At 42.1% G+C, this 17,442-nt stretch overlaps 1 protein-coding gene and 1 long non-coding RNA gene across 25 annotated transcripts in view, besides 2 other annotated features; one reads left to right on the top strand and one right to left on the bottom strand.

Annotated features, from left to right (window-relative positions):
* Positions 1 to 17,442, bottom strand: part of RNF14 (ring finger protein 14) — a 40,956-nt gene that overhangs the window by 11,990 nt on the left and 11,524 nt on the right. For 3 of the 23 annotated variants that reach the window (XM_047417908.1, XM_047417904.1, XM_047417903.1), the window contains exons 2-4: positions 7,426 to 7,599; positions 4,561 to 4,720; positions 3,348 to 3,499 (exon numbers count right to left, since the gene is read on the bottom strand). In XM_047417908.1, the coding sequence (XP_047273864.1) occupies positions 3,348 to 3,499; positions 4,561 to 4,714 (306 nt within the window). In that variant the 5' untranslated portion in view covers positions 4,715 to 4,720; positions 7,426 to 7,599. Of the gene's footprint in view, positions 1 to 3,347; positions 3,500 to 4,560; positions 4,721 to 7,425; positions 7,600 to 8,640; positions 9,390 to 9,531; positions 9,743 to 11,398; positions 11,461 to 17,442 lie in introns of those variants that run through there. The other 20 variants (XM_047417899.1, XM_047417907.1, XM_047417898.1 and 17 more) reach the window with 15 other exon arrangements.
* Positions 8,523 to 15,756, top strand: LOC124901095 (uncharacterized). Of its 2 annotated transcripts, none has more exons than XR_007058977.1 (3): positions 8,523 to 8,695; positions 15,089 to 15,212; positions 15,678 to 15,756. It is a non-coding gene; the product is annotated as an uncharacterized LOC124901095 (long non-coding RNA). The 2 variants fall into 2 exon arrangements; XR_007058976.1 differs by lacking the exon at positions 8,523 to 8,695 and adding an exon at positions 12,893 to 12,978.
* Positions 9,016 to 9,165: an enhancer, noted in NCBI's record as "active region_23314". NCBI's record gives its function as "activates an Ori minimal core promoter by ATAC-STARR-seq in GM12878 lymphoblastoid cells {active_cell/tissue: GM12878}" and the evidence as "EXISTENCE:reporter gene assay evidence [ECO:0000049][PMID:35858748]".
* Positions 9,276 to 9,415: a silencer, noted in NCBI's record as "silent region_16464". NCBI's record gives its function as "represses an Ori minimal core promoter by ATAC-STARR-seq in GM12878 lymphoblastoid cells {active_cell/tissue: GM12878}" and the evidence as "EXISTENCE:reporter gene assay evidence [ECO:0000049][PMID:35858748]".

Genomic DNA, 17,442 nt, shown 5'->3' with positions numbered 1-17,442 from the left:
CTAGGAGAAAACACATGAAGATGTTGGTGAGTTTGGAAAGATGATGCTGCTGCCAACTCCTGGTTTCCCTAGAAATCTTTTCCACTTGCAAGTTAGGCCCTTATTCTAACACTATTTTTTACTGCTGTGATACACTGTGCTACATACAAAACAGTACAAACATTCTTACTGGAGCACTTCTTAAACTATTCGGCAACATGAGCCAGAGTAGAACATAAAGTCAGAAGCAAGAAGTACCACGAGAAGAAGAGAAATAGCAAGACTCCGTAAGGTAGAGAAATAGCTGTACATTTTAGCCACTGAAATGGAAGACTTTTTTCTGTTCTTTAATCTTTTAGTACTGCCATATACCTCATGTAGGACAAAGAGATCTAGTTCTAAAAATAAACTATTTTTCTTCCATTAGGAGTCCTAGCCCTGTTCGTATCCTAGAATAATGGTTAGAAAAAGAATAGTTTAAAAATACTATCCAAGTTTTAAAATTAATTCTTTCAGTTTTATCAAAAAGTCAACTCATCTGAAACAATCACTAACAGAATTCAACCTCAGAGTCCTTGTTCAGATTTACAAGCTGCTTTTAAGTAAGCAATCTGGGCTTATATCAGATCCTGGTTAATGGAGGGAAGCTGCCTGATATTGACCCTGGTCCTAATCACAAGCCCTCAGCAAGGTTTGGCAGCCATAGAGAAAGCTTACACTTCCTAAGCTAAGCAACCAAAATTAAATTATTTGGAATTTTCCTCTTTAAAAGTGGTCTGTTCAATTTGAAAGGCAAATGTTGGAGAATTTTCCATTAGAAATATAAAATATTTTTAACTAGAGCACAGGAATTATAAGCAGCTTTTCTTTTTTAGGTAAACATCCAAAAATATGCCTTCCAGATGGCAAACAAATTTTGTAAATTTAAATGACAAATGAAAAGGGACCAGATTTTCTGTTTCTTACACTCTGTGTAGTGCCACTGACTAAACCCTGCATAGGTACTACCTTAAATACTTATTGATGAGTTAAGATTGAACAACTAATGATTTTTCACATTTGCATAAATATCCTTATAAATCAACCATGCTTTTGAGAAATCTGCTAACATCTGTAAAATGTGATAAATACTAAAAGGGAAGCTATGAGTGCTGTGTGAGCTACCAAGTCCTATGAAGAAGCCATTCTCCAACCTCTTTTCTACCCCAGTCCCTTCTCAAGAGAGGCAGCTGGGGCTGGGCGTGGTGGCTCATGCCTGTAATCCCAGAACTCTGGGAGGCCAAGGCGGGTGGATCACCTGAGGTCAGGGGTTGGTGATCAGCCTGGCCAACATGGTGAAACCCTGTCTCTACTAAAAAATACAAAAAATTAGCCAGGTGTGGTGGCGGGCGCCTGTATTCCCAGCTACTTGGGAGGCTGAGGCAGGACAACCACTTGAACCCACTAGGCAGAGGTTGTAGTGAGCTGAGATTGTGCCCCTGTGCTCCAGCCTGGGTGACAGAGCAAGACTCCATCTCAAAAAAAAAAAAAAAAAAAAAAAAAAAAAAGAGAGAGAAAGGCAGCTGGAATGCATGTAAATGGAAGGGGGACGGGAAAGAGACTGTGTAAGTATATTGGGGGAGGAATAAGGAATAAGGTTTTAGAAAACTAAAACCACTTCCCTCTGTCTACCCGCCCCAATTCAGGGAATGACAGCTCTATGTGTCAATTTCACCATTAACAGGTGAGAGTCATAATGCCAAGGAATCAGGGTACAGCAACAAACAAGAACTGAACCAAGAAGGAATATAAGAGACCAATTAAAATGTTAATTATATGCATAAACATTTATTTGATTAAGAATTCTACTGTAATTTTAGCTGTAACACATAAAACAACTCTCTTCCCCAGCACACACCTCCGCCCCCAAATCCAGCATTAAGTAGATGCTGGTTGGCTGGAATCTGAAACCACAACCACGCATCCAGTTAATCTGTCCCTGTTTTGTGCGTGTGTGTGCATGCACGTGCATGCACGCACATGCGTGGATGTAAAGTATGAAAAGCTCTCTGGTGAAATAGGACTATGAAGATCTAAATAATTAAGCCAACTATCAGTGGCCTAAATGCCAAACAGTCTTGATATTCCTGGACAAATCAACTGTCTTGCATCTGTTGCCTCTGGCACAGACATTAGAATGTAAAGTAATACTCCTTTTTATTCTACCTGTGTTATCCTTTTTAAGGTTTAATTTTGCTTTTAAACCATAAGCTCTAGTTTGTGAAAGTACTCTCACTTAAAAGATTAGATTGGTGGATGGGGAAATGAAAACTGTATGATCCAAAGAGAAAAACTAATGAGCTATTCCTTGAGGTCAGCAACTCTGACATCTTTTGTCTTTTTCTTTTTTTTTTTTTTTTGAGACAGGGTCTCTGTCTGTCACCCAGGCTGGAGTGCAGTGGCTCAGTCTTGGCTCACTGCAATCTCTGCCACCCAGGCTCAAGTGATCCTCCCACCTCAGCCTCCCAAGTATCTGGGATTACAGGGACGCACCACCACACTTGGCTAATTTTTGTATTTTTTGTAGAAATTGGGTTTCGCCATGTTGCACAGGCTGAGCTTTTGTCTTAATACACATTAGTCTATTGATCTTCATTATGACTTCTAGAAAAGCAGCTGCTGATTCATTATCTCTCCCAGAATGCTTTATATTATTTATATTTAGCTTCAAGCCATATTTATGTCTCAATCAAGAGTTGAGGTTGTTACTAGAAAAGTATATATAACCCAGAGGAAATGAGGTGCTTAACATAAGGCCTCAAGCCTTACTGAGATATCTACAGGAACTATACACATTTCTACTTGTATGCATTTATGTCTACGTGATACCAGTTGACTGTTATTTGTTATTAATACAGATTTTTACAAAGAAAATCAGTTATTGTATTCACTCAGAAAATTTGCTTATTATAACTACATTAGCTCAATTTTTAGTCCTAATTACAATGGAATCTTTCATTTAAGGAATGGATAAGAAACTAAGAGAAAAGTAGTATCAATGTCTAAGGAAAATGAGGAAGACCTCTTAGTCTCCATTATAATACAGATTAAACAGGAAAATAGCAAGACAAGAAAAGAAATAATATACTTGATTAAAAATTACTCCTACTACAATTCATGATTGTTTTAATTACTGCCATTCCTTTTTAAAACACCAAACATTTTCAATTTCTTAACATCAGGATTCACCAAGGCAAGGGAAAAAAATTACAAAACCAAAGCCATTTGTTTTTCATGCACTGAATTCAAGATCTTTAAGATAGTCTTCAATTAAAGGTGATTTTTAAGTTTCTAAAAATGGATAGGAAAAATTAAGTTTCAAGTCTAACCTGAGTTGGTGACAGCCATTTGCCACTAAGTGTGAATGAAGGTGGGGAAGAGGATGGATAATCTGGTGGCAGTTCAAAGTTCAGCACAAGTGGAGGCAGAAAGCAAATGGTGTATTCAAAGCCACTATTCTGGAGACACTCATTTGAATTGCCTGAACCAAAAACAAAGATTAGAAAGGATCAGTTGGTCAACACTTGAGTGTCCACTACTGTTGAGCAGCGCTCAAGAAAGACTTAATGCTTTAGTTGAGGGAATAAAAACCCTCCCCCAAAGCACTTTCTATTTCTTAATTTTAACTTCGTAGCCACCACCTTAAAAAAAAATCTTGTAAGCCCTTGAAAAATCTACAGCACCATGAAATGTATAATGAAAATACTACAACTTATTCTTGTATACACTTCTGAGTACAATTCCTAACACTAATGACCAAGGAACACACAATGTTTGTTTTGTTGTGGTTTGGTTTACAGTGGATGATTGAAGACACAATCTAGAGAAAGGATGTTCATTTCCATTGAACAGCATGACCTACTTAGACCAGCATGTCCCACTTAGACCAGCATGTCCCAACTACCCATGAATCAGTTGGGAAAATTTGTGCCAACACAATGATCTCAGGTTTGAGGATATAATATAGCACACAACACTCTCACAATCAAAGTTTCATTTAAATTACCACACTTACTTTCCTTACTCAATCCCTTTATAGTAGAAACATTTTGAGAAAGTGTGCATCAAAGTCTTCTGTAAATGTCTGTATCAAAAGCAGCAGTTTTGTTTTTTCTGAAGCAAAAGGTCACAGAGTAATAGCATGTGTCATATGTTTATAGTAGTTGAAATGATTCTGGAAACCAAATAGTATTAACCACCACCACTGTACTTGAAAATTTCTAAGCGTTTTCACATACATTCATTTTCTCTTTGATTACTGCTATGTAACAGCCAATGACTCATGGCTGATAAACTGCTAGTTAGCAGACCAGGATGTATGAAATATGCAGGATAATATCCCTCTTCAGTGATCAAAAAGGTAGAATCAAATTGAAAACTGCTTGCCCCTCATTGCAATTTTCATTTAAAACAGAAACATGCATTACCTCTGTAATACTACCACCTATCACTAATGCCTAAAACACAAAATGACAAATAGTTTAAGGTACACTAAGAAATAAAGAATAATAGAAAAATCTGTTTAAGAAATTATTAACTAACCGCTCACAAATATCTTGAAATTCTGTGGCAAATCCAAATAGATCCTGGTTTCTCCACCTTGGACAGACTCTGCTTTTCTAAATTCATCTCCATCGTAAATACTTGCCAGGGCCAGCAATTCATCCTCCTGAGCTTCTCGATCTTCTGACGACATAAGGACCTGAAAACATTAAAATCAGTTAAGAACAGAAAATGCACAGAGGCTGGCCGGGTGTGGTGGCTCACACCTGTAATCCCAACACTTTGGGAGGCCGAGGCGGGCGGATCACCTGAGGTCAGGAGTTCAAGACTAGCCTGGCCAACATGGTGAAACCCCATCTCTGCTAAAAATACAAAAATTAGCCAGGCGTGGTGGCAGGTGCCTGTAATCCCAGCTACTTGGGAGGCTGAGACAGGAGAATCGCTTGAACCGGGAGGTGGAGACTGCAGTGAGCCAACATCACGCCACTGCACTCCAGCCTGGGCGACAAGAGTGAAACTCCGTTTCAAAAAAAAAAAAAAGAAAAGAAAATGCACAGAGGTGGAAAAAGCTTAATGGCACAAAAAACAACTGCAAAGAATTAATCGATATTATCACTTTTCTCCTAAACCAAAAATGACAGCCATATCTGGCATTCCATTAGTTTTGCAATATTAACAGTCTTTTTCAAAAGGGATGGTTGTGGTACTTCTAATTCCTGATCTTATCAGTTAGATATTTTATGACTGAATTAGAGGAAAAAAAGCACAATTTGAAAATTTTCTTTGAAAAGGACAAATCACAAATTTACTTTGACTTGTCCACTGAACCTAGCAATGTGCCTGGTTCGCAAAAGTGGTCAAAGTATATTACACTCCTTTCTTAAGTTAATTTGCCAGGCGCGGTGGCTCGTGCCTGTAATCCCAACACTTTGGTAGGCCGAGGCGGGCAAATCACCTGCAGTCAGGAGTTCGAGACCAGCCTGGCCAACGTGGTGAAACCCCATCTCTACTAAAAATACAAAAATTAGCTGGGTGTGGTGGCTCACCCCTGTAATCCCAGCTACTCGGGAGGTTGAGGCAGGAGAACTGCTTGAACGTGGGAGGCAGAGGTTGCAGTGAGCTGAGATTGCACCATTGCACTCCAGCCTGGGCGACAGAGTCAGACTCTGTCTCAAAAAAACAAAAAAGTAAATTTTTTAAATCCACAGGAATCTTTAGGGCAAGTTTTCTTAGCTTCAGCTCTATTGACATTTTGAAGTAAATAATTGTTGTTGGAGAGCTGTGTTGTGCATTATAGAATCTTAACAGCATCCCCTGGCTTTTACCCACTAGATACCCAATAGTGGCCCGCTTCCACCCACAAGAGCTGTGACAACTGAAAATATCTAGCCAGGTGTGGTGGTGCTTGCCTGTGGTCCCAGCTACTTGGGGAGCTGACATGGGAGGATCACTTGAGCCTGGGAGGTCGAGGCTGCAGTGAGCCATGATAGCACCACTGCACTCCAGCCTGAGTGACAAAGTGGGACCCTGTCTCAAAAAAAAAAATATCTCCAAATAGCGCCAGGTCCTGGGGCAGGATGGGGGTTGGAGGCAAAATTGCTCCCAGGTGAGAAAACAGTGCTTGAGAATGTTACAGGCATAGATATTATGGAAGAAAATTAGATAACTGAGCAAGCAGCAAAATAATATTAAATTTTTGAAATAATAGATTTTGTCAAATCCAAGCAGTCACCAATTTAAAGATTCACCATTATGACTCAAGAATATTTAAAAGATAATAATTTTAAGAAAGATTTACCATTATTTTAGGTAATACTAAGAATTTAGCTACAAGGCCCAGGCACAGTGGCTCAAGTCTTTAATCCCAGCACTTTGGGAGACCAAGGCAGGCAGATCACTTGAGGCCAAGAGTTCAAGACTAGCCTGGCCAACACAGCAAAACCCCATCTCTACTAAAAATAAAAAAATTAGCCGGGCATTGTGGTACACGCATGTAATCCCAGCTACTCGGTGGCTGAGGCACGAGACTAGAGAATCACTAGAATCCAGGAGGCAGAGGTTGCAGTGAGCTGAGATTGCACCACTGCATTCCAGCCTGGGTGACAGAGACAGACTCTGTCTCCAAAAAAAAAAAAAAAAAAAAAAGGAAAGAAAGAAAGAAGAAAGAAAGGAAAGAAAGAAAGAAAGAAAGAAAGAAAGAAAGAAAGAAAGAAAGAAAAAGAAATTAGCTACAATTAAAGTATGAACTGGCTGGATATGGTGGCTCATGCCCGTAATCCCAGCACTTTGGGAGGCCAAGGCAGGAGGATCACTTGAGGCCAGCAGTTTGAGATCAGCCTTGGCAACATAGCAAGATCCTGTCTCTATAAAAAATTAGCCAGGTGTGGTGGTGTGTGCCTGTAGTCCCAGCTACTCAGGAGACTGTGGCAGGAGGATCGCTTGAGCCTTGGATGCTGAGGCTGCAGTGAGCCGTGTTTGCACCACTGCACTCCAGCCTGGGGGACAGAGCAAGACCTTGTCTCAAAAAATAAAGTATGAATCAATGTTTTTTAAAATAGCATCAACTGAAAGATACAGCAATTTCAGATAATTTAAATGTGAAAAAAATATGCAATGAGAATTTACAAAAATCATTTTAATAAAACAAAACTACCAGTCAATTAAAATATTGAACTACAATTGCATTTGCAAATATCCTCCCTCACAACTAAAATATTTTTAATTAAAATGTACATAAGTAAAAAGTTAGGATTTTTTACATTTTAAAAGGTCATACTATGAAATTAAAAATGATTTCATTTTCAAAAAACACTTTTTTTCTAGGAGATGTTAGTTCATGGCTCTGCTTAAGCTGCATCCCTATCTAAGACACAATTACATGTTCTACTTGAGGTCAGTTAGTACCTGTTAATAACAATCAGAAGAAAAGGATATTAACACCGCAGTCTGTATTTCAGCTCAGAGTGGAGTTCATGCAAATCCCATTTATTCTCTAACTGGTGGAGCTGAGACTGCTGAAGCTGGGTAAGAGGCCAAGATGTGGAACTCATACTACATATATTATGAAAATCCTGCCATCTGCAGAAAAGAAATACAAAAGATGGTGTTAGGACCCTCTCCAAATTAAAATTCTGAATTTCCATGATCACTGCTTAAGTCAAACATATCCTAACATATAGCCAATCCTAATCTACAAGTGCATGTTACTCTCCTAGGGCAGGCTAACTGAGCCATGTGGTTAAAGGAGTATTTGCATGTCCCCAGCAATGACTGAGGACTTTTTATCTGTCTGCCCTCAGCTATGGGAGGAGCTAAGGAGGAACACCAAGGTCATATGAAAGTACAGGACACCATGCCCCATAACAAACAATCTCTTCAGTTTGTTTTTTGTTTTGTTTTTTTCTCCTTTCCTCTTCTGCTTCTTGTATTCCTTCATTTGCCACTCCCCTCCAGTTTTTCCTCTCTTGTTCATGAATTAAGCCTGCCAGTGGCACTCAAGGTTAATTTTGGTAACAGAAAAATACTTAAACAAAACAAGAGTACACAAACACAAACTTTTAAGTTTTATTCTAAATGCTTTAGAGCTAGGCTTCTTCACTGGGGTGAGGGGAAAAGGGAGTGTGGTCTATAGATGGGCTACGGAGAATCCTATCAACACCCTAAAATTATATGCAAAAATACTATATACAAAACCATAATTAAAAACCAGATTCTCGGATGTGTAACTCCCAAATGAGATAAGAATGAGATTCAGAATCAATTTACATTAATTGAGCACCTACTATGTACTGTATTAGGTCCTTTCACATTGTCTTATTTTACTAGGTGGGAGTATATGGTGCTAATTGAATTAAGCTTTTTGTTTCTTCCTGTTAAAACATTTGCAAATGGGATGAGAGATTCATTCATGCAGTTTATGGTTTTAGGTTAGTGTTCTCCATCTGACTGCACATTAGAATCTTCTGAGGAGCTGTTTTTTAAAATCTCAATACCCAGGCCACACCCTAGAACAATTAATTCAGGCCTCAGTAGTTTTCCAAGTTCTCCAGGTGATTCCAATATGCAGCCAGGGCTAAGAACTTCTACTCCAAGCAGTTTCAACAGTTCCTCATGACCTACCCTACAAGATTTCAGCTTGTGAAGCTGTCACTTGGAATCCAGTACCTCAATTCAGGTTGCTAACCCCCATTTCCTTCTCACTCTATCCATTTGGTCTTCGGGTGTCCTAGTCTGGGTTCAGCTCGCCACTAGGCGTGCGGCGTCGTTTGGGCGACTGCCCCAAAACAGGGGCAGGCCCAACGCTAGCTATCCGCCCCAACGCTGGGATCAGAGGGCGCAATGCGGATGTGTGAGCTGCTGGCCAGCCTGGGGCGTCCCGAAGGAGCAGGGCCCACACCTTCCCCTTCCTCCTCAGCGTCCCGAAGGGAGTCCCGGCCAGCCGAGCTGCGGACGCCCGGTCCCGGATTTGAGGGACTGAGGCCCAGTGTACAGTCCCAGCCCGGTCCCCTTCTCTGCCTCGCGCGCCCAGAGAGCTATCCCCACCGTACCTTCCGGCCGCCCGGCAGTGCCGAACCCCAAAGTTCCGCCCTCCGCCCTTGCCTGGGGCCCACTCACCGCCGCCAGCCGACCAGGCCTAGAGACGCCCTGCTCAACCGGCGCGCCGCCTCTTCCGTTCTCGGGAGCTGTCAGCTGAGCCAGGCGGATCCCGCTGGCGCGACCGCCGGCATAGGGAGGACTCTGCGCAGCCGCCGTGGTCGCCCCTGCCTCTCGGGCGCCTCCCGCAGGCCCAAGGCGGCGCTGCCGGCGCGACCACCGTCACCCCCACTTACTGCGAGCCCTGTGCTCACAGGAGGCTCTTTTCAGTAGTTCTGATGGGGCCCGAGAATTCGAATTTTTACCAATCTCTAGAGGGGATCATGAGGCAGTGGTCTACCTAGGGCAGAGACTCTCACAACAATCCCAGACCTGCTTCTCCAAGTGGACTAAGCAAGCCTACTTCCTCCCGTTTACCTTCTCAGAAATGCTGCCGGTCTTTCTGGCACTCCACTGTGGAAGCACGCATTCATCGCTCATGTTATAACTGTAACACCGACCGCATTTATCGAGTAGTTAGGATGCTTCAAGCAGTGTGATAAATGCTCTACGTAAATTTTCTATCTTCACTGTAATCTTATGATTTAGCTACCATTTGTTATTCTCACTTTACAAATAAGGAAATTGAGACTTAGGTGCAAGAACTTACCAAGGGTCACATGATTATCGTCAGGCTAAGCAGGAATTAAAATTATACACTTCCTTCCTCACACCATATGCAAAAATTAACTAAATATGGATCAACGACCTAAATGTAAGAACTAAAACTATAAAACCCTTAGAAGGCCGGGTGCGGTGGCTCACGCCTGTAATCCTAGCACTTTGGGAAGCCGAGGCGGGTGGATCACGAGGTCAGGAGATCGAGACCAGCCTGACCAACATGGTGAAACCCCGTCTCTACTAAAAATACAAAAAATAAGCCGGGCATGGTGGCGGGCACCTGTAGTCCCAGCTACTAGGGAGGCTGAGGCAGGAGAATCATTTGAACCCAGGAGACAGAGGTTACAGTGAGTCACTGCACTCCAGCCTAGGTAACAGCGAGACTCCGTCTCAAAAAAAAAAAAAAAAAAGTCAAACACAAAAAGCCATATATTGTTTTTAATTTATATGAAATGTCCAGAATAGGCAAATCCATAGAGACAAAAAGTAGTTTAGTGGTTGCCAGAAACTAAGGCAGGAGGGAATGGGAAGTGACTGCTAATAGATACCGCTAATAGATATGGTGTTTCTTGGGTGATGAAAATATTGTGGAATTAGAGAGCAGTGATAGTTGTATAACTTTGTGAGTGTACTAGAAACCACTGGATTGTATACTTTTGAAGAGTTAATTTTATTGCATGTGAATTATGTCTTAATTAAAAAATTTTTTTAGGTACAAAGCACCGTTCTCAGCGCTTAAGTGGAATACAGAAATGTTGGCTCCTTCTCCTGGGACCCATCAAACTAATGTGCTCCTCACAATCTAATAAGCTCCTGTGTCCGCTTTTTCATATATTTCTTCCTCCAAAAGAGTAACTTGCAGAGCTAAGACTCTAACCCAAGCCTACAGGATTCTAAAGCTTTTACCACCATTGCCTCCCGGGCAGGATTAGATTCATGGGCCAGCAACCCGTGCAGTCACATAGGGCCCTGCACTTAGAAGGGCCCCAGATTTAGAAGTGGCCTGCTCTTAAGAATGATACAATGGACTTTGGGGACTTAGGGGGAAGGATGAGAGGGGGACGAAGGATAAAAGACTACAAATAGGGTGCAGTGTATACTACTCGAGTGATGAGTGCACCAAAATCTCACAAATCACCATTAAAGAACTTACTCATGTAATCAAATACCACCTGTACCCCAATAACTTATGGAAAAATTAAAATAAAAAAGAAGTGCCCTGCTCTTGATTTGATGCTGTGCTCTCACCCTCTTGAAGTTCTTAATAATTTCTGAATGAGAGGCTGCATTTTTATTTTGCCCTGGGCTTTGTAAATTATGTAGTTGGTCTTATACCCAGGAGAGAGAAAAAAACCAAGTGAGTAAATCAGGGCACCCAAGGGATTACCTGGCTGCCACAGAAAGAACCTTGAAATAGAAATAATCACTTCTAATTTTCTGTACTATAAATCTTGATTGTCACAAAACAGAAACCAAAATACCCTTCTAATAGATACCAAAACCAGAAACATATCTCGGAAAAATGCAAAGGACGGAAGAAGAATCTCCAAAGCCATTCATTAATATAATTATTCATGTTTAGCCAAAGGAATTAGACCAAGAGCAAAACACACAGCAACCCTACCTCAGAGTGCTCAGAGAGGGGAGACCAGAGACCTCTTCGTGAGGAAAAAAGTGAGGAAGCCCATGCACCAACCAGCTTGGGAAATCCTCACAAAGTCAGAGCAGAAGGTGAATTGTGACATCATGTCAGAGGTCACAGGATAGAGAGAATAGAAAGAGAATTTCAAAGCAGTGTTAATAATTTACTGAATGTTTAAAGTGAACTAAAGATTTAGAGTCAATTTTGAGGACAAGATTGGGTAAAGACAGCCTTCTAATAAGTTTTGTTTTTGACTCTAGGAAAATAACAGACTTTTGTGTCTTTGGTCTCATGTGCCTGGTTAGTCTTTTAAACTGCAGTCTCCCCGTGTGCCTAGCCCTCCACTGTGCTAAATATTTCACGTACATTCTCTCATTTAAATGCCCAGGACCCTATGACTTAGGTAATTTTATGTGCCCACTTGACAGAAGAGAAAACTGAGGCACTAAGATTTGTTTTTTTAATAAGGCCTTTTATATTTACACAATTACTATTTATGACATTTTTATTTATTTTTAATATAAAAAGATGTAATAAAAGACAGCAATGTCATAAAGTTGAAGTCAGGTGTATTATACTTTGGGGTTTTGTTTTGTTTTTGAGACCGAGTCTCACTCTGTCACCCAGGCTAGAGTGCAGTGGCACAATCTCAGCTCACGGCAACCTCTGCCTCCCGGTAGAGGGTTCAAGCGATTCTCGTGCCTCAGCCTCCTGAGTAGCTGGGATTCCAGGTGCACACCACCACATCTGGCTAATTTTTGTATTTTTAGTAGGGATGGGGTTTCACCATGTTGCCCAGGCTGGTCTTGAACTCCTGGGCTCAAGTGATCCACCCGCTTTGGCTTCCCAAAGTGCCGCGACTACAGATGTGAGCCACGGCGCCTGGGCCACTTTTTTTTTTTTTTTTTAACTTTTAAGTTCATGGGTACATGTGCAGGTTTGTTATGTAGGTAAACTCGTGTCACGGGGGTTTGTTGTACAGATTATTTCGTCACCCAGTGACGAAATATTAAGTCTAGTACTTTTTATTCTTCCTGATCCTCTCCCTCCTCTCATCCTCTCATCCTCTACCCTGTAGTAGGTAGGCCCCAGTGTGTGTTGTTCCCCACTTTGTGACCATGTGTTCTCATCATTTAGCTTCCACTTACAAGTGAGAATATGTGGTATTTGGTTTTCTGTTCCTGTGCTAGTTTGCTAAAGATGATGGAGGCACTAAGGTTTGGCCAGTATCACACAGTGGTGGAGCCAGGGTTAGAGCCGATTCCTCATCAGTCTGACTCTCTCCAGGAGCCTGTCAGAGAATAAGGGTTTTTTGTAACAAATTCACAGAGAGTAAAATAGTTCTGGCCTTAAGAACTAAACGGGAAGGCCCTGGGGAAGTTAGGATTCGAGTTTATGACTTAAGGATAGGTGAGAATGAGAACACAGACAGAGAAAGAGACCCAACTCCCACCCCCTGTCCCCAGGGACACCGGATGATGACGGAGCCTAGGGAGAGGAGAGGTTACAGTGTACCACCTAGACCAGAGGTCGGGACCCAGGCCACGGAGTGGAGAGTAGAAGTGAGTCACAAACTATGGCTTGTCACTATAGGGGTTAGCAGACCTGACGGTGCCTGCATTTGTTCCCATCCATCACTGGCATCTGGTAGCTGTCCCGAAACTTTGCTGAACTCATCCCACCATCCCAGGGGGGACTGCCTCCTTTTCCATGGCCACCACTCGCAAGCACTCCTGCAACAAGCCCTTGAACACAGAGGGGCAGCAGTGTGGAGAGGAAAACCCTGCCCAACTTTTGGATAAAACTGAACCTTAATGAGCCCTACCCCAGTACAGAAGTGTCCCTGACTTCTTGCTGGTCTCTTGTCATTGTGTATTTGCTCATCATGTAGATCTTAAAAGTCTATTATCATGTGGGCCTCTGAAACATTGTTTTTTTTTAAAAAAAATTAGAGGTTTCAGGCCAGGCGTGGTGGCTCATGCCTGTTATCCCAGCCCTTTGGGAGGCCGAGGCAGGTGGACCACCTGAGATCAGGAGTTTGAGACCAGCCTGGCCAATGTGGTGAAACCCTGCTTCTACTAAAAATACAAAAAAAAAAAAAAAAAATTAGCCGGGCTTGGTGGCGGGCACCTGTAATCCCAGCTACTCGGGAGGCCGAGACAGGAGAATCACTTGAACCCAAGAGGCAGAGGTTGCGGTGAGCCCAGATCGCACCATTGCACTCCAGCCTGGGCAACAGAATGAGACTCTGTCTCAAAAAATAAAACAAAATTTAAAAAAATAGAGGCTTCATCCTAAAAAATTGGAAGTGCCTACACTAGAAGCACAATTATAAATAACGCTTAAAGTGCTACTTATATCCCAGGCCCCACTCTAAGTGCTGTATGTTAACTAAGCTAAACCCAACATCAACCCTATAACATAGCACCATCATCATCATCATCATTCCTATTTTAAAGCTAAGGAAACTGATCATAGATAATTGACTTGCCATCGTCACACAGATGGTAAATTACAGAGCCAATCCCTGAACCCAGGCAATTGGTGCCCTGGGCCCACATCATTAACCCCATTGCTATGCTTAGACCAAGTCAATACTTGGCTCAAGGAAAGTGGTCAGCTGGGTCTGTAAGGAGAAATAGCCAGATTACCTGCGTGACCAGCTTCCCTGGCCAGTGCAACCTAAACAATAACTCAGGTCAGGTCAGCCCAGGGTTATATAAAGACAGACTGCTACAAGGGCTTGAGGTGGCTGACAGTATAAAATGTTTTCTGTGCTTTTGATGCAAGCTAAAATTTGATTTACAATAATAGGCACAGAATGATCATGTTTATACTCGCAACCTGGCATTTTATTATTATTCCCCTGAATAACAGTGAAAAGAGTTTTGTAACCCCAAGGTAACATGGCTCTGTAAGGAGGAAAGAGGGGTGAGATTTAGCAGCAGCTGCCATCATAAATCAGTGTGTGGCTGTTTCTCTCAGAGCTCCAGGCTCAACTCCTGGCTGTCATAAACTTATAAAGGGAAGCCCCATGAGAATTTATGTAACGATGGGAAGACTCATTTTCCTTCCTGCAAGAGCCTTTCTGAAGCAAGGAGAGAATTAGGCCGATTAGATTCTATATGAAGAAAAAAACCAAGCCAATGGTTTAGAGGAAGGGAAAATGTGGGTCAACTTGAGCTACTTCCCTTGCCAAAAAAATGACCTTGTAAATAGAGAGGAACATGCTAAATTCCACCAAATAAATGAGTGACTGGATGACTGAATGATTTAATAAATGAGTGTAATCTAGGCTTCCTCCAGGGTGGTTCTTTCGTGTAAAACAGTTCGATCTTGGAGTCACCCAGAAATGCTGAACACATAACAAGGCCAATCAACAGAGTTCGCTTCTGAATATTCATGCACAGATGATGCTCCCAGTCAATATGTTTGATTTTTTTTTCTGTTTACTAATAGATTTTCAAATTCACTGTGCAAACCAAAATTCTTAAAAAAAAAAAAAAAGGAACTTGTGTTGAAAGCATACATTATTTCTGGGCAGAGTTGTCAGATTAAAATATTTATACTAAAATTATTCATTGTTTATCTGAAATTCTAATTTAACTGGGCACTCTGTATTTTTATTTACTAAATCTGGCAACCCCTTTCTGGACCAATAACCCTACGTAGAGGAAAGGACAGAAGATAGCTTCTAGGGGACATGCCTGCACCTGGGAGTTAGAAGGAAGGAAAACCAAAGAAGGAGCCAGAGAGGCAGATAGAGGAGTCTGCAGAAATATGGAGAGAGAACCAGGTGAGTATGGAACTCTATAATGAATAGTGACACACATGTCAGGGAGAGGTGGGGACCATGAGGATGCTGGGTTAAGAAAGGCCTGATCGCTATAGAGTTTGGCCTTTGCAATGGGGGATGGTGATTCTGAGAATTTCTAATAGGTGGTTCTCGATGAAGTTGGGGTGGAGATAAGGATGCATGTCGGAATCACCCAGAATATATCAAAATTGAAATCTGTACACCAGAAGTAGTGCCCTTCCTCTCGAAGGTTGGGGAGAAAGACATGTGTGTGTAACTCTTATCAACCCAGAACTCAAGTGGTCCAGTTTTGGGTCCATGTTATGGTTACTAACGCACAAAATAAATTTGGAAAAGAACATACAAATCTTTTCTTGTATTTTTCTTGAAAATCATGAAGGAGGTCTATAATTTGCAATAACGAATTCAAAAGTCCTTTTCATCTTCATTCTACCTCCTTCACAGCCTCTGCTGTTGTCTGCTGTATTGCTCTCCAGAATTTTCTCAGATTGCAGAAATCTCCCTCCTCCCGTCTATTTATTTTTATCACGTAAATCAACTTAGCCTCTCTTTCCAGCAAAAAGGTCCAATCAAATTCCCCAACCCTGTCCCAAATGAAGGGTGCGGAACTGAGCTGGCAATTACAGACTATTCTTTGGCAGTATTCTGGGAAAGGGAAAAGTATGAATTTTCTTGCCCTGTCCCTGGTATTTTGTAAAGCTTTCCAAGTGACTTCGATATCTGGACCCTTTTGAGAACTGCCGCTGTTAACCAAGACATAAAGCTTTTTCATTTCTTGAAAGGTCCTATTTCTTGGCAAATTTCTCCCTGCAAAGTGCATTCTTTTTTCTGCACTGACCCCAGAAACAGGTGCCATTGTGTGGGAGACAGCACCTGTCATCTGTCTCAACAAAGTCCACAAAGTGCCCTGCTAGGAGCAGATAACCCAGAACATCTACCTGAGTCTCCCAGTCAAGATTCCTGGTCTGACTAGGAATCTAACTTCAACAAGATCTTCCTGAAAAAAGACGCTGAGCTTGGACGGTCCAACCACCTCCCTACCTGGGATAAGCCGGAGGATGCTTCTTGGCTTCCCCAAAGCTGTCTTGGTGGTGATGCTGTGGCAACCACAGGGGAGATTCACGAGGAGAAAGCCTGGAAGACCAGAGCCCTGGAAGTGGGGCAGCCAGCCCAGCGGGACATTCGTAGGGGCGAGGTGTGATCTCAGCCTTCATTCAGCTGGCCTGGGAGTCCTCCAAGGGTCAGAGTCACACCTTACTAGTCTGACCCCTCAAGGTTCCTTAGGACTCCAGGTGTTTTAAGAAGATTCTCTGAACCCCCACCCTTCCCACTTCACCCCTCAGCCCTCCCTGTGGTTAAGAACCCAAGTGTGAACAACCCCAAGTTTGGTGGTTAGTGAGGCCTTCAAGCACAAACCCTAATCCTGCCCTTTTAAAAAAAATATTTTGGACTTAAGGGAGGCTGTCCTCAATTGTTTCAAACCTATTTCAGAGTACCTCCACTCCTTCAAACCTATTTTCAAAACTCAGGAAAACGTCGCCTTTCCAGACGAACTCTAGTGACAGCTCCATTCACCCCTTGGCATTTGACTGCTAAAGATCAGCTGACCCCTGCAGCCAGAAGGAGGAGAGAAAATTGCTAAATGGGGACCTCATTTCCAGAGGTGATCACCTTAAAAAAGTCTGGGGCCTTGTTTGCCAGCTTTGAAATCTCAAAGGGTAATCTTAGCTTCATGTCCCCAGTGTGAATAAAACAAACAATAAAAACCACCTATGAAATCTAAATTCAAACTTTCTTGCGACCTATGCATCATTTTTTTGCATTCACATTCCCAGTCAAAACACAGACACACACACACACACACCCAACAGATATATAACTGCATGTAAAATATATATAGATAAAACAATGTCCTCTGAAGAATATAAATGTTAACACAAGTAAAATTATCATGAATTCCATAACTCCTTCTGTGGCCTTGGTCCACGTTAGGTTTTCCATTAAGAGATACTATTGTCATCAGTGAGTAGCTTCTCCTGTTGTATTCTTCTGTGTAGCACGGGGCTGGAGCTGTGGATATTTATGAACCCCAGGCACCCACTTCCTGTTTTCGTGGCTGTCCCCGGTCCCTGCCTCTGTGCCGTTTTCTCTGCCTTTGGCCACCAGATGGCGCTCTGGAAACGAGTTTTCTGCATCAAAGCTCCCCTGC

Source organism: Homo sapiens, chromosome 5 (genome assembly GCF_000001405.40).
Source record: "Homo sapiens chromosome 5, GRCh38.p14 Primary Assembly".
In the NCBI taxonomy this organism is placed as follows: Eukaryota; Metazoa; Chordata; class Mammalia; order Primates; family Hominidae; genus Homo; species Homo sapiens.
This window is presented reverse-complemented; position numbering and strand designations above follow the sequence as displayed.